Source organism: Homo sapiens, chromosome 7 (assembly GCF_000001405.40).
Source record: "Homo sapiens chromosome 7, GRCh38.p14 Primary Assembly".
NCBI lineage: Eukaryota > Metazoa > Chordata > Mammalia > Primates > Hominidae > Homo > Homo sapiens.
In genome coordinates, this window is record NC_000007.14 from 94,634,180 (window position 1) to 94,651,223 (window position 17,044).

The following is a 17,044-nucleotide window of genomic DNA, read 5'->3' on the forward strand; positions in this document are numbered from 1 at the left end:
ATCATCATTTTCTAATTTTTAAGGTTTACAAGGATCTAATAAAATCTCAGTTTACCAGAACCACATGAAATGAATTGTTCCACAGAGCTGATGTTTCTGAAGTACTCTGCAGTTGATTCTTTTTCATGATGGTATAAGATCATCATTTTGTACATCAATTGTTGCACTCTGCTCTATTATACGGTGATACCCGTATGGACTGTTTGGTTGCCTTGTCATTTACCGATCACACTGTGGGTCCCAGTCTGCTAATGCTTTTTAAGGTTGTGTGTTTTACAGATTTTGTTTTCTCTTTTGTAGACAAGTTGTCAGCTGTCATTTCTCATTGCTATCAGTATGTTTCCCATAGCAGCTTCTCTATCCCCTCTAATTTGCTGTTATTAATCGGCTGCAGGTTTAGAAACCAGACTACCAAATGAGGCAGGGTTGCACATTGAAGTAAAAACAAATGCGTGCTGTTTAACACACATAGGGCTCTGCTAGATGTAAAAGACAGGAGCCTGCATTCGCAGCATCTATTTTGGCTGCCGAAAGACTCTTTTGTGGCGTATTTCCTAGTTCTTAGTTGACGCAGTACACTTCTGAATAGATGATCTTACTATACTTGAGAGAGAGCCATTACTTAAGGTGATGGCAGCAGAAACTCTGTTATAAAATACATTCACAAATAAATAGGTGTACAATTGAAAGTCTTAATTCAACCCATATATTACATAACTGTGAACTGTCAAATAAAAAATGGATTGAATGCATTGTATAAAACACTTACATATTCGATATGTGGGAAATACACTGCACAATTTAAACGAAGAGATCTATGGATTAAATGATATGTTGCCCTTAGTTATAGCTAAATCAGCCTAAGATACTATAACACAATATAATTAATAAGTAACTTATTAATAAGCAATTAAAGTCTATTTCTAAAAGCATTTCAATTTTATCAATTTGTTTCTCACATGAAGAGTTTGAAGATGGAAGCTGTTCATTGGGAAGCATCGCAAAGGTGTTTTAACTAAGTTCAAATTATTTAAATATGATAGTATATATTTCACAGCTAGGAAATTAGTTGTTCAAGTAATTTGAACTTAGTTTAAGTATTGCCTTAACAGTAAGTATTATCTAAAAAAATGTTTTGGATAAGAATGATTAAGAAGGTTTTAAGGTATGTTGAGGATACAAAGAGAGTACTAAACAGCCACCTATCTGCTGTATCTTTTAAAATAAATTGTTGCCTAAGCAACTAGGTATCATCATCCCTGATAATTAAAAATGTTAAGTACTGACAAAAAATAATACTTCTCGTCTCATATTTTATAGTTTTAACATCTAAAAACTCTTTATGAGATTCAGAGTCCCTGTATACATAGGAATTGAACAAGAGGCAAATCTCACTTGCTGTCTCTGCATCAAAAGAACTCATTTCAAAGTTTGCATAGCCTGATACATTTATGGATTCCTTTCTAATTTATTTTTTTAACATGTTGTTACTACAGTCAAATTGAAATTTAATTATTAAGCCAGGTAATTGCTGTAGAGAAATATTTTAAGAGAGATCAATATCCAGCCAGTTAGACAACCTGTTTTTGTTTTTGTTTTTCTCACTAAGATTTACCTTGTGTTTTATCAATACAACTTTATGAATCTTGGCTTTGAATCAAAAGCTTTTCTCAGCAGTCTGCCCTTCACCTTTAATTCACTCAACATCAAAGTACTGCAGGCCATTCATCTGGCATTGGCCAGCTATTGTTTTTTTTTCAGTCACAGATAGTCCATGCCTTGGCTGTGGAATCCATCACTAAGAAGGCATTACAGTGTCTTTGTAAACTTCATTTCTCTAGGAGATATGGCCACTTTTCTTTACATGAAGTAGGAGAGGAAACCATTACTTGAATCTTCTACAAAAAAGCAGAAGAGTTTCTTCATGATATTTTCCCCAACTAAAACCACTTACTTTCAGTTTTTCCAAAGTGGAACTAAACATCTTGATTATTGTGTGATTTCATGTGTGTGTTTTTTAAATGTCAATCGGAAAAAGGTTGCAAACCATTGCTAATTGGTGATCAATAAGCTTAGTGTCATAGCATGCTACATTGAAAAGAGCTTTATATGTCATCCTGTCTGGGCATGCCAAATATATTTCTTTATTAAGAGACAGATCATAACATTATTTCCTACCTGCATATGGCCTCTGCCTCCTACTTAACCCAGGATTCCTGACAGTTACTAACAATCAGAGTTTGCATGCATTTGCTCTCTTGGAGAGTTCAGTCCATTTTATAGATAACAAAATTGAACGTAGAGGGACTAAGTGACTGCTTCAAGCCTATAGGACCCATAACTAGAAAATAGAAAAAAGGAAGAGTGGGTGTGTCAAAGAAGCTGATGGCCCTCAGCTTGCTCAAGTAGGTCCCCTACTCCCATTCCAGGGAAAAAAAGAAGAGATTCCATAGTCCATATCTGGAGTATTCCTTATTGCTTTTGTAACCACTTACTGGGTGCTGAGGTAGAATGTCAAAAGTTAAGGCATTCAAATTCCTTAGAATCCTATTTACAGAAGAAGTACCATCCTACCGCTTTAGCTAAGAATTGGAATATTCTTTGCTGGGCCTGGCAGCTCACGCCTATAATCCCAGCACATTGGGAGGGCAAGGCGGGCAGATCACCTGAGGTCAGGAGTTCAAGACCAGCCTGGCCAACATGGTGAAACCCCATCTCTACTAAAAATACAAAAAATTAGCAGGGCGTGGTGGTGGGTGCCTATAATCCCAGCTACTCAGGAGGCAGGAGAATCACTTGAACCCGGGAGGAGGAAGTTGCAGTGAGCTGAGATCACACCATTGCACTCCAGCCTAGGCAACAAGAGCGAAACTCCATCTCAAAAAAAAAAAAAAAGCTACACAAAACATATATTTGTCAAATTTATTTTATATATAAATGATCCTATCATCTTTTGTGCTCTCTTGAAATTTTCTAAAAGAGATGACTGGGATTCATGGTCAAGAACATCTCAAAGAACATTCTATATCTGAGACAGCATTTAAAATGGCCTTGCCATACAAGTTACTAGTATTTGTTATTATAATTTTAAAAGTGATGAAACAATTCTCCTCATACAGTTGACAAAACTTACTCCCTGTATAAGGTATCTTGATAATTCAGAACTATAATGATAGGATATAAATAGGATGAGAAGAAAGAAAAATAATCTAAAGGATGAGATCAAGCTAAACTGAAGAAATAAGAAAATGTGATAATCGAAACTCTTTACCTCAGTAGATTCAAGATGGAGGGATCATTTCTATTCTGAAAACTCTAGTTATCTCTTGGGTCCCAAGGAGAAAATCAGTGTGAGGTTCAATGACAGTATGAAGTTTGAAACAGGAAGAGACTGGCGTCTCTTAGAGATTCTAGATGACACTATATGTCAAGGTCTTGAAATGCATTTCCCTGAGAACAGCACCATAATAGATGACTCTGCTGAGTGCAGCAGCTGTTGAGAGAGTATTTTTTTGTTTTTGGAAATCAAACAGCAAGAGGAGAGAGAGGCATGCTCAGAGAGAACAGAGGTTCCAGGGATCAAAGCTAAAGAGGAAAGACTGAAGAAAAGGGATGACTGCAATCTAGTGAAAAATGATGTGAAGTCCAGAGGAAGAGTCTTCAGAGATCCTCGGTGAGGCACAAGGAACCAGGGCATGTCCCAAGTCCTTTGGAGATGACAGAGCAGAAGTGCAGTGCAGACTGCAACAGTGAAGGACACCGGGGACCCATAACCAGAAAATAGATTAGAAAAAAGGAAGAGTGACTGTGTCAAAGAAGCCGATGGCCCTCAGCTTGCTCAAGAAACCAGCCAGATAAGGGTGTAATCAGGGGTGATTCCCTTGAAGGAACTTGGGAGAATCTGATGGCAATATCTAAAGAGAATGTGGGGAAAAGAACTATGAGATCATGGGCCTGTGTCCTGGAACAAGTGCATCTAGTGCTTTTTAAAACAAATTTTTGTGATCTTTTCATGAGAAGTTATTTGTATGAAACTCTATGTTTTCTTACAGATCTTAGCAAGGAAAATTCCTTAGAAATACACAGGTATTTGTAGGTTTGTTTCAAAGTCACTTGAGAAAATAGATGTTGGGAAACTTTGTCCCATTGTGAAAGAGATCTGGGGGTAGAAGTGTCCAGCTGAAGAATAATTCGGTTCCAGCTATAAAAATGTTAGTGATGCCCAACTTCAGAGATGTATGAAGAAAATGAAGTAAGCCAGGAATCAATCCTACAAGTACCCAGCAGGTTTCATCTGGCATTATCATCTTATCACATAAAATTACTGTTCTTTTCAAAACATTTTAATATTACTATTATTTTTATAGACATTTTGGTTGCTCCGAAGTTAGAGAAACTACTATTCTGCTGAGGTTCATGAACACATGTAGTTAATATTCTGTGTGAAGGATCATAAAGCCAAAAAAAAAAAAAAGAAATATTAAGTGCAAGTTCATAATGGTAACTGGTATTTTGAAAACAACTAATATTTTGACTGTTAAGTAATGCCTTTTCTCCATAATGAAATGCGTTATTTCAAAGGTCCTGGAATATTGCTGATGGTCACATTTATAGATACTGAAGAAAAATTTAGAAGGATCAATCAATCATTTACAGGTCAAGTCATCTTTCCAATAGAAAACAAGTGCCACTAAGTAATAGCAAAACATATCAATTTGGTTTTGCAACAAGAATCATCCAAAATTAACCAAAATATGAGTTTTTCCAAGGTTACATACTGCTATTTAAAATGATACATGTTAAATGTACGTTTTTCAGTATTATAAATAACTTGTTATAGTAACCACAGTAGGACAATTTTTATAAGTGGCAAGCTAGTGACTGGATAAAAGGTAAGTTAAAAACATAGGAATGGTTTTTAGTTTTTCTTTAAAAAGGGCAAAGCTACAGCCAAGGAAGAGGACTTGAAAAATAATGGAATAAGAACACACGGGATCTAAAACAGAAGTTTTAGAAGATTAGGAAAACAAAATTTTAGTTTTTCAGACTTACTAACAACAACAACAAAAAGCCACACATGACTAAAAAAGGGAAGAGACTATTGGAAGCAGACATTTAATTGGCTCCCCCAAAGGGATTTAGATTTACAACCTAAACTCACCATCTTTCATCCCAGCAGCCATTTTTCTGCTGATAATAAAATTGTTGGCCTGTCTGGTCTTCCAGTTAACTGTTCCATTTATGCCATCAGCACAGCTTAATAAAAAAGCTTTTCAGAATAAAACAAATGTACAAAAAAATGAAATTAATGTCATGATTTTTTAAAATGACTGTCACAGATCACCTACAATTAACTGGGATCAGATTCCTTCCAGCCCAGCTAACTGTTTAATTCTAGTCAGCAAATATTTGTTGTATGTCAATACAAGGAGTATGTGGGGATACAAGACAACCAAGGCATAGTTCCTGCCCCTGAAGGAGCTTACAATCTATGGGGATTGGCAATTCATGTACATATACATATACATACATACACATATATACACACACACATATATAATAAATCATACTAATTATACACACAAATGGTAGAAAGCATACGTGCTATAAGAACACTAATGGGGAAGCAATTATCTCTGGCTAGGAATGTTGTTAAGTTTAAAGTACCTTTTAAATTCACAGTTGAATTTTCCTCACACTGGCAGCAATGACTAGCATAGGGGTTAAGGAATACTAAGTAGGGGCTACTGCAAGAGTGTCAGATAGCAGTCAGGGTGAAGCACAAGGAAACAAAAAGTGGTGCCAATTACAAGACACCTTGTAATGGAGATAATACTGACATGGAGATAATGGAGATAATACTGACAATACTTTTTCAAACTGCTAGGTGCAGGGATAAAAGGAGAATCAAAGACGCCTTTGAATTTTTTATCTAGAATGACATAGAATAGCAATACTTTAGGAACCTCAGAAAAGTCAGTTTCAAGAGAAAGATGATTAATTTGATTCAGGATATGTTAAACTTAGGGTACTAGTTGGACATCTAGGTGAAACTATCTGAGAAGAAGAAGATAATGTAATGGGGCTTCACATACAGATTTAAAGTTCTTCTCCAGAGAAATGATTATTGAAGCCAAAGCCCTAGTGTGATTCCTTAAAGATACCATGTCCCTGGTAACACATACATCAGGCTCTTACATAGAAAGTGATCTGGAGCAAATATATGTTCCTGTTCTTATTGATCCTGTTTTTCACCATCCAAACTGCCAATCTGCTGTCTACTCTCTGATTTTTCACCCTTACATTTTAGACATGATAGATTTGGGCACCAGTTTTTTCTGATTACAATATTGGCTCTCCATCCTATTCTCCCTTGGGCTACTTTAGGTAAGTTCCTTGTGGATTCAGCTCAGCCCAAGAACTGCCCATGGGATTTGTCCTAGCTTCTGTGTGTTTGTTTTGTTTGTTTTTTGTTTTTGTTTTTTTGAGATGGAGTCTCACTCTGTTGCCCAGTCTGGTGTGCAGTGGCGTGATCTCGGCTCACTGCAACCTCCGCCTCCTGGGTTCAAGAGATTCTCCAGCCTCAACCTCTGGAGTAGCTGGGACTACAGGCATGCACCACCATGCCTGGCTAATTTTTGTATTTTTGGTAGAGATGGGGTTTCACTATGTTGGGCAGGCTGGTCTCGAACTCCAGGCCTCAGGTGATCCGCCTACCTCGGCCTGCCAAAGTGCTGGGATTACAGGTGTGGGCCACTGCACCCGGCCTGTCCTAACTTCTGGACCTGAAATGCAGTAAGAAAGAATGCTCAAAAGGTAAGAGGGACAGCAAAAGCAAAACAACATGTTAATAAATACATTAACATATCAAAAGCAGAGGATGATTCAGCAAAGAAAGAGAGAAGCAGTCACAGAGGTTGAAAAATGAAGTCTGAAGAGTAACATAAGCCAACAGAAGAGAGATGTCAAGAAGGAGAGTGTGATCAACATCCTCACTTACTGCAAAAAGGTCAAAGAGGATGAGAGCTTAGAAAAGACTGCTAGATTTGAAAAGTGAGAAGTTACTGGTGACTCCTTGAAAGTGGAGTTCTGATAAAGTGGTGAGAGTAGAAGCCAAACTGCAAAAGGTCAAGATGTAGATGCAGAAATTACAGTTAATCTTTCAAGAACACTGGTCAGAATAGGGAAGCAAAAAGATCAAATGATAGACTGAAGAGTAGCAAGGTGGACAGAAGGTTGGTTATTTTAGTAGGGATGACATATTTTGTATCTAAATAGAGGAAAAGATGTAAGGGGGGAAGAGATTAAGGATAAAGAACAGGAGCATAACTGATAAGATACAATCCAAGAAAAGGTAGAATGGGTAGGACCAAGCATGTGGAAGTAAGGAAAATACTTTGGGCATGAGAAAAGGAAAGGAAAGTGAAGACAGCAACAGTTAGTGGAGTATAGCAAACTTAACTTTAAAAGAGCTCCCCACCTTAATAAATCAGAAGTAAAAGGCATATTTCCTTTTCAAACTGAATTTTCAGTAAAAATCTGAACTTAAGCTAAATTATGAAAAATCCAACCCTTCAAAATGAGAAAAGAATACAATTCAAAACCCAGATTATTATTATTATTAGTAGTAGTAGTAGTGTTTTTAGAGATGGGGTCCACTATGTTGCCCAGGCTGGACTAGAACTCCTGGGCTCAAGTAATCAATCATCCTACCTCAGCTTCCCAAGTAGCTAGGACTACAACCACTGCTGGGACCACTGCAACCGGCTAAAACCGAGGCTACCGATTTAATCATGACACATTGTATGCTTGTATCAAAATGTCACAGGCACCCTTTATATATGTACAACTATTACATATCCATAATTAAAATTTTAAAAAGTTGTTAAACCCAGGTTATTAAAAACAAACAAAACCTCAGGTGATCATGTCAGTGACACCTAGGAGTACAAATCAAAATCCACAGCACCCCCCAAAATAAGCTACTGAATTTGTATTCAATTTAAAATATATGTCAAATTAAGAATATTAATTTTATCTACTAAATGACCAATCTTATGAATTTCTCTAATAAATGGCTTATTTAATAACGGAAGTTATGTATTTTTAAATCCAGATGAATAATACAGGAGGCATTTCCCAATAATTTAAGCTAAAACAGGATCAGAAATGCTAATAGTCTCTTGTGGCAAAATACTCCACCCCCAGGGTTTTTCCTGATGGCTATGTTCCAAAAGCAACATGCTGGTTACATAGGAAGCACGTAGGCAGCTCCCCCAAAATACATATTCACATGTACCCCCAAAATATACATAGTAAAAAATTCTAAAACACATATTCATGACTCCACCATGGAGAGTCTAGGTAGATGGGTTACACAATTCCGTCAGGTAATTCACATACAAAACTGTGAACTCTAGAAGACAGAGGAGCCATTACAGAACCCAAAGAAATATAAACTATTACCTGAAAACCCTACCCATTCCAACCTCCAACTGATTTACAGGTACAACCAATTTGTAAAAACATGCAAGACCTTGCTGGATAGTGGAATATCCCAACTAGAAGGACAAGAAACAGGTGGCCAAATTCTTCTCTACAATGTTCCAAAGAACAATGTATTTGTGGATATGACAAGCAACATTTAGATTTAACTGCTTCCCATCACCAGCTCCTGAGCAAGGTACTTTCACATATACTGTCTAATTCAATCCTTACAAAACCAAATCATCTATTAATGTGTCTGAAGATTATAGGGGCTTAATCTTAAAGCATAATGAAGTAAATCCTGCAGGCAAGCAGACACTCTATAGAACTCTCCATTTCTCCATGAACTGGGTAGTTACCATAAAGAAAGAATGGGGTGAGTGCCCAGGCAGCTTCTCTTTTGTTCCTTCCTTTATTCTAGCTCAGTGGTTCTCAGACTATGTTGTGCATAAGAATTATTGTTCAGAGTTTTATATACAAAATTACACATATTATACCTTATGGGCTATTTAAAGGATTTACTAGGATAATTTTAGGTCTATGGAATTTTTTCTTACACTCTTGCTTTTAGAATCCTACTAACCCAGCATAAGATTTAACACCACTACATGTCCTTGGCTAGTGAATCAATGCATCATTGCTCATACTTTCCAGGTCCTGCATAAGGGCAGTCTAGTTGGCTTTTACAGGATTCAAAAAGCAAATTGAATTGGTGTCTCAATTGTTTAAACAGAGAGGCAGGGTAGAATAGTTTAAACACAACACACAGATATTGCTGTATTTCAAGGCCAGCACTGCTTTTGAACACATTCATTTTTTAAAAGTTTGTATTGATCCAGATGAAGTCCTACTTTGACCACAGAAGACTGAAGTCCAATAAATCCCAATAAAAGGACAATGTTTTATGGCTCTACTCCCCAGGCAATATCACTAAAGGCAAGACACGATGCCACGAATGATGTGCTTAAACCAAGTCCCACATATTGAGGGAGAAACTTTAATAATAGGGAAATAACTATTTATTTTTAATTGTGTGTCCAATATCATGGATCCACTTGACTAACTTCTTGTATAGAAAAGTATTGTATTCTGTACATTGACAAGTACAGAATACTCATTGAAAAAGGCTAGTATTTTAAAGTTTAATTTTCATTAGAAAAGGACCAATGCATTTTTTTATGTGAGAATGGATTTCTCTAGGACGGAAAAATATGACTCAATATTTAAAATATGTATCCTACCTACAACTTTTCAAGATTAAATCTAATGTGTAAAGATATGTCAACCTTGTAGAGACTGGTTCTTGGACATCCTCCAAAGACACTGGACTATCCTCAGGAATCTTAAAAGGAAGAGAACGCCACTGTGCTCACCAGGTTCATGGTAATCTACATTACAATTATATCTGGGTGTGAGTTTTACTCTAGTTCATAAACACAAAAACAAAACATCATATGCATCTTGCATTTACAAAGCCCAAGCTAAGAAGGCATTCACACAATTAGCCAGGATATCACTGTACATAATTTAATCATCTTTTCAATGTTCCCCCTTCTAAATCATCAAAGCCTAAATTAATCCAAAGGTGGCTGGCATGCCTTCACCTTCCCTAGAAACCATATGACAGTTAAAGTTTGTCTTAAGATTCCATGATTCATTTTGAGTCTTGTAGCGGCATGACTACATTTCATCTGGCCTGGGGCAAGCACTCTCTGAAGAGATATTACTGTTTCCCAAACCTGAATAATTTGCTGACTGGGGGAGGAGAGGATTGCTATTTAATAAAAGTAATTGAAGAGCTGTGAATAGTGACTGATTGCTGATGAGCTAATCAGAATATCAAGGAAGGGAAATAATAAATAATAACTTATTCAGACATCACTGTCCAAGTAAACAGCCGGATATGCCAAATGAAATTTAATCTGATTATCATACTCACCTTAAAAGCAAACTGTCAAGTCTTTCTCTGTCCACTACTTCATTTGTCTCTTTCATATTCCACTGTAAGGGGGATGAAAGACTTTGTTTTCAGAAGTTGGTTATATAGCTCACGTGTCCGGCATCCCTTCCCTTCTCTTACCATCCCCATCCAAGTTGTTACGCTGCTCCCTGACCCTCTACATTTTTCTCTTCCCTTCTTTTATGCAATTCTCCTCATTTCTTTTAAAATTGTTTCCTACATCAAAACATTATTTTTACATTTTTCTCTCTAAAAAATGTAAGTTGGCCATTACTTTTCTTTAGCTACAATGTCTTAAATACTAAGTGCTGGATACTACACCAAGGGTTGTACACATATTAACTAATGTAATCCTTACAATGACTATGTTAAGTAGGCAGTATTCACTCTATTTTACAATGAGACTACCAAGTTTAAGAAAATTATGTTAACTCACCCCAGGTCTTATGTTTACTAAGTGGCAGAGTTGAATTTTTAACCCATTTCGTGGTTGACTGCAAAGTCTATGTCATGAACACATCAATACTACCCCCAAATACAGTCATGCATTGCTTAATAATGGAGATACTTTTTGAGAAATGCATTGTTAGGTGATTTTGTTGTGCAGTCAAAGAATGTACTTACACAAAATGATATACACATTTTTATTTATATATATTTTTTCATATATAAAGCCAAAGTTCCCATCACCATTACTATGCTACTACTGTGCAGTGGAAATTAATCTCATGCACTATGGGCACCAAAACAAGAACAAAAACAATTTGTTGAAAGAAGAAAGCTTTAAGTTTTGGAACCTATGGGGAAAAAAATGGCTTTACTGAGGAGGACTGTTTACCCCAACCTCTGAAAGGAGTTGGGAAAAGATAATCCTAAAAGAAATGTTACAGCAAGGCTTTAAATGAAGAATGCCAGAAGAAGCTAAAAAAATTAGATATAAGAGACTTTAGAGTGAAATAAAACTGTAGTACAGAAAGGTAGTGTTTAACATCAGTCTTTACAGACAGTGTCTGGGTTCAAATCCTAATTTTTGTCCATTGGGCAAGCTACTCAATGTTTCTGTGCCTCATCTGGAATAGAATAGTACCCATATCAGTGACATACTGTTGAGTATTAAATGACATAATGTATTTAAGAACTTTAGAAGAATGCCTAGCATATAATGATGTCCCCCAAAAATGAAAACTATTATTACATTTACTCTTCAACTAATTTGAAGAAAATTTTGGATTTCTTTAAATACAATCGTTTTTAAAAATATATCTTCAAATGAAAAAAAACTATCATCACTACAGGTGGCATTATATAATAATACTGCACTCTCATTTTTTTCCACAATCATGACACATATGAAAAATGATATTCTATAGAAATATATAGTAGAGTCAACTGTAGAGGCTACTCAGAAGAGGCGACAGCCATACCAAACTCCACTACACTCGTTGTCCAAGGACTAAAAAGATGGCATCTCAGCCAATCCTCATTCTCTGCACTTAGCCAAGTTGAGGGCTGCAGTTTAACCCTTTTGAGGGAAGCCTGATGTAGTAAGAAATGAATTACATCGATATTTATATTCTGACTCTCATAAGCTTTTAGATATTTATTCAGAGGAAGCAATGCAGCAAAAGCAAAAAGTTATGTGTGAGCAAGACTCAACTGCATTAAACACAATATCAAAATTGAGTGGAAAGTTAAACGTTCAATATAAGAAGTTTTGGTTTGACAGAATAGTTAATGGAGAAGAGAAGGTTACTCACTTCTCTTGGTATTTTCTGCTCCTTTGCTCAAATAGCCTGAGAAGATAAGTCTGGGTTTCCACTCATGGGAACAGAACTATATATCTCAGATGAAACAGGAACACCAGTGGAAACTTTAACAAAAACAATGCATATAAGCAACAGTTATATGCACCATTACAATTTAATGTCCTCACTTGCACAATGTTGGACTATTGTGAAAATAATAAAATTAGTGAAAAGCAGAATACAAAACAGTATACAGGCACTATAAAATCTAGTGTAATAGTGCAATCTAGTGGAAAAGGATTAAAAAGCCAAGTGTATGAGCTATTGGGTTAGGGACGTAAAGCTGCAGGAAAAATTTCTGTTCACAATAAAAAATATAACAATGCTCACATGCTCTTTCCAACTAAGTAACCTCTAAAAAAGAAATATTCTTATATTGTATGTTTGCTTTAAATTGTTATTAATTTCCTTAATTATAAAAATCCATACATTCTCATTGTACTATACTTTCCAATAGTATAACCAGGAGGGTACAAAATATAAATGTTCTCCCTCATATCCCTGTTGCCATCCCACCAATGTCACTGCCTAGCGTATCTACCCTTAATCGTCCTCGTGTCTTTCCATATTCTATGTGTGTACACACAAAAACACATACCGTGCTCTTTTTTGCATAATATGATCACATTTTTTCACTTAGAATATATCTTGAACATGTTTACATGATAGCACATTTTAAGGCTACATCATTTTCTGCTATGTGTCTCAATCATAATTTATTTATCATCACCTCAAACTAAGCTTGTCCAAACTAGGACCCATACTCTTTCCCTTAAAAACTGATCCTATTCCAGCCCTCTTCATCCTGTGTGTGGCACCACCATCTGTCCTCATGTAGATGACAGAAATCTGGAAATCATCCTTGAAATCTCCTCCCGACAAACTTAGCACCAAATTCAATGCAACACTCACTTCTGTTGGTTTTTACCCCCTAAAATATCCCTCCTATCTTCATCTCCCCATCACCACGCTAGCCCACAAGGTCATCAACTCTATCCTCAATTACTAAAGGAGCTTACTAGTCTGCTGCAAACTATTCTGACCCCTCCAACCTTTTCCTCACAAACAGCTAAAGTGCTCTTTTTGAAATGCAGATCTGATCATGTCCTGGTTAAATCCCTGCAAAGATTTTCCCATTGCTCTTAGTATAAAGATTAAATCCTTTAAGGTTGTCTACCAGGTCCTGCAAAATTTGTTCCCTGACCTCCTGTCTAGCCTCATTTAACATTGTGCTTACCCTTTTACTGCTCCAACGCCACTGGACTTCTTTTAGCACTTTCTGTTGACCATATTCAACCTGCCCCAGGGCCTCTACAGAGGTCTTCCTTTTACCTCATATATACCGTCCCTCCTTACTAATATTTACTCATCCTTAAGATCTGAGTACTTCCTTGGAAGAGCCTTCCTTAAACCCCCTATCTGGCCAAATCCTCTACTTACAAGTTCTAGTCAGGTTCATAGCAATTACCATAGTTTTAAGGGCACATTTATATGTGTAATTGTTTGATTAATCAAATAATCTTGAAAAAAACCCTGTTCTTTGTCAACCCCACTAGTGTAAAAAGTTCCACGATAGCCGAGCTGTGTATTCCCTAGCATCCAGCATGGGGTCTCAAAACTAGTCAACACTCAAAAAAATGAATGAATAAAGGAATTACTGGCCAGGTGTGGTGGCTCACACCTGTAATCCCAACACTCTGGGAGGCTGAGGTGGGAGAATCACCAGAGGTCAGGAGTTCAAGACCAGCCTGGCCAACGTGGTGAAACTCCGTCTTTACTAAAAATACAAAAAAATTAGCTGGGCCTGGTGGCGGGTGCCTGTAATCCCAGCTATTTGGGAGGCTGAGGCAGGAGAATCACTTGAACCCGGGAGGCGGAGGTTGCAGTGAGCCAAGACCTCATCATTGTACTCCAGCCTGGGCAACAAGAACAAAACTCTGTCTCCAAAAAAAAAAAAAAAAAAAAAAGAATTACTAATTAGTAAAGATGACCAGGATTTTTTCTAGTTTTCTTATTATGATTATCAACACTATAATAAAAATCCTTATCTGTATCTTTGAAGCACCTTCACCATTATATCTCTAAGCTAGACTTCTAGCAGTAAAACGGTTAGATGAAAAATAATACTGTACATTTCAAATTCTGATAAGCACATGTAGTCATCTGTTCTGTTTCTACTTCGGCAGTACTGGTCTTTCATGAGAATGAACCCAGTAACTACAGAAAATGAAAGATGTTAAAAGTGCTACACTGATTAACTATTTCATAGAAGAGAAAAGCCAATGTCATTTTACTGCACAGCAAGAAACATGAATTTGCTAAGAAGGAGAAACAAAAAACCTCAGGGCTATTTTTTCTCTTATTTTGCTTTCCAAGGTAAAAGAGCAACTATACTTCCATGCATACTGCTGAAGAAATAGGTAACAAATATTCCACTTTAACTGCTGTAAGAAAATTACTGTGATCCCTTCTTTCAAATTTGCAGCGAACCCCAAATCTCCATAATAATCAAAGTGGTGATCAGATAAGGAAGTGAAAAGCTAAAGAATGGGAAAGAATTCATACCAGAGCTGCCTAACTCCTATACATTTTTTAAATGAGCGGCTTCATTTATCAGAAAAGAGTCTGCGTACATGTCACAACAGATACCATGGCGATTCCCGTGGTACAGGATGCCAAAGATCTATTCCAAAAAATTGATTAGTCTAAGACAATTAGATACAAAGTGAAATGTGCTAAACATGCGTGGTTTTTAAATAATCAAATGCACTTAAACTGCTATTGCATAAACATTGCACAAAAATTCTTACATGAAGATACAAAAAATAAAATAAAATTCTACCAAAGAGTGACCGAAGAAGAAAACAGCACTGTAGCTTTTACTAACATATTGTTTCCAAGAATATAACAATAATCATGCCAGCAACTAATGTTTTGAGGCTACCTATTTATTTCCCAAGGTAACATCTTTAAGTTTTAAAATGTAGACACTGGGGATTATTACTTCCAAAGCAGGGGAGCCAGAGCCAGAGCAAGCAAGCACTGCATTCAAGGAATTACAAGTAGCCGCCTGTAGATCAGCTGAGCGTTGACAAGCCAGAAACTCATCTTTGAGCTTTTCTGTCTTGGAAATATGAACTCAGCCCAAGAACGCCCGTGGCATCTTCAACAACAGGGATGCAAGCCATCTCAAACTGCTGTTTGCATTATTACAATCCCACAAAAGTGCATGGGGCCCTTCTATGAAAGAGAGAATAAGGAAAAGAGAAAGTTGTTCAACATTAGAAATATACTTCATACAGTCAGAGTGAAAGTGACTGCATTTCTGACCTAACAACTGGAGTGGAGGAGAAAGTTCTAAGTGTGAGGCAGAAGTGAAAGCTGCAGGGAAAAGTTAGAAAATATGACAGAAGAATTTTTCTATCATTTCTTCACCTCTCTCATTGGACTTCTTAGTTTGCAAGAACTAATAACTCCAGGGTATAAAAATAGCTTTTGTAGAATCCGAAACTACTCACAAAAGGGGTCCTGTAAGGAAGCCCTATATAATCCACAAATTCATTTTAAGAAATCATATTTTCAAAGTTTGATATACTAACCCAAATAAACAATCAATAGGCAGATCACCATACAGGAAAGAAAAATCTGCCTCAAGACATGTTTGAGACACTAAGAATGTGCCCTTCAGCCAGGCAGAAACCAGGCTAACCTGAAACAGACAGAAGTTAAAAACATTTGATAAAAATATTTTATTTTGCTATGTAAAAGCTAAAAATTGTAACTGTTAAGTTTTGTAGGGAGATACATCACAAGGGAGGGGAGGTTGCAGAAGGGACCCTATTTCCCTCTGGAGAAGAGGCAGCTGAGCTCCAGCAGCCAGCCTGCCCCCTCTAGCCCTAGGTACCCTCGGCATCCACGGCCACTCAGCCCCAGTAGCCTGCTTGGACAGAGCAAGAAATTCCAGGAAAGAGTAATTCTAGGAAGCAAATTAAGCAAGTTAAGACACTTTGCAGGGGGAAAAGGAATCTTTCATCTTCTTCTCAGGTTTTCATGTTTGAAACAGAATGGGAGAGATAGGAGGGTGTGTGTTAAATTACCCTGTTGCAGCTATTTTCAAGTTGTAAGAAATGAACTTGCAACACATAGGGCTATTTAGACAGTTTATCAGAAAAATAAAATGTTCTCATCACAATTATCTTTCAGGTCTACACTAAAATGTTATCAAGGTCTTCAAGTTAAATATTCATTGCAAGAAAGGTGAATATTTCTGATATTTAAAGAACAGAATAAATAAAGTTGATTGTTTTGTTGAGCTGCAATGTTAGGAAGGCCTCATGTTGAAATCTATCTGTACCTTTAACCCACCGATGCTAGTTCTACTTTCCGAAGCAAACATCAGAGAGTTCATGTTGACTGTTTAGTCTTCTCAAGTTAAACACTTCCAGACCCTGTGAGGATACCTCCCATGACAGGATTGCCAGACCCTTCAACATCCCCATGGACTGCTCTGGAAGTTGTCTAATTTGTCAAAATCTCTCTTTAAATGTGACAGCCAGAAATGGACACAATACTACAGATGTGGTTGATTAGAGCAGGGTACTATTAATTTTTGTGACATATGGACACTATACTACTACCAGAACCTAACTAATTTTTTTTTCTTTTGCAACCATATCATGCCACTGGTTCATAATAACCTTCATTTTCCTAAAGAACTGCCACCATACAAAGTCATCTCCATACTTCCATACCAATGAATTATGATGCATTTACTACTATAAAATATTTTTTT

General features: G+C 36.8%; 1 protein-coding gene across 12 annotated transcripts in view, besides 2 other annotated features; it reads right to left on the reverse strand.

Moving 5' to 3' along the window:
- The window catches only part of SGCE (sarcoglycan epsilon), a 71,154-nt gene that overhangs the window by 49,200 nt on the left and 4,910 nt on the right, over positions 1 to 17,044 (reverse strand). For 2 of the 12 annotated variants that reach the window (NM_001346715.2, NM_001346713.2), the window contains exon 2: positions 5,162 to 5,269. The exons of 6 other annotated variants lie outside the window; for them this stretch is intronic. In NM_001346715.2, coding sequence (NP_001333644.1) covers positions 5,162 to 5,269 — 108 coding nt within the window. Of the gene's footprint in view, positions 1 to 5,161; positions 5,270 to 6,717; positions 6,786 to 10,426; positions 10,489 to 17,044 lie in introns of all 12 variants that reach the window. 4 more of the 12 variants (NM_001362808.2, NM_001346720.2, NM_001362807.2 and 1 more) reach the window with 3 other exon arrangements.
- Positions 6,158 to 6,659: an enhancer, noted in NCBI's record as "H3K4me1 hESC enhancer chr7:94269649-94270150 (GRCh37/hg19 assembly coordinates)". NCBI's record gives its function as "activates a minimal SCP1, AML or CMV promoter by ChIP-STARR-seq in naive H9 embryonic stem cells {active_cell/tissue: H9 hESC(naive)}" and the evidence as "EXISTENCE:reporter gene assay evidence [ECO:0000049][PMID:30033119]".
- Positions 6,660 to 7,159: an enhancer, noted in NCBI's record as "H3K4me1 hESC enhancer chr7:94270151-94270650 (GRCh37/hg19 assembly coordinates)". NCBI's record gives its function as "activates a minimal SCP1, AML or CMV promoter by ChIP-STARR-seq in primed H9 embryonic stem cells {active_cell/tissue: H9 hESC(primed)}" and the evidence as "EXISTENCE:reporter gene assay evidence [ECO:0000049][PMID:30033119]".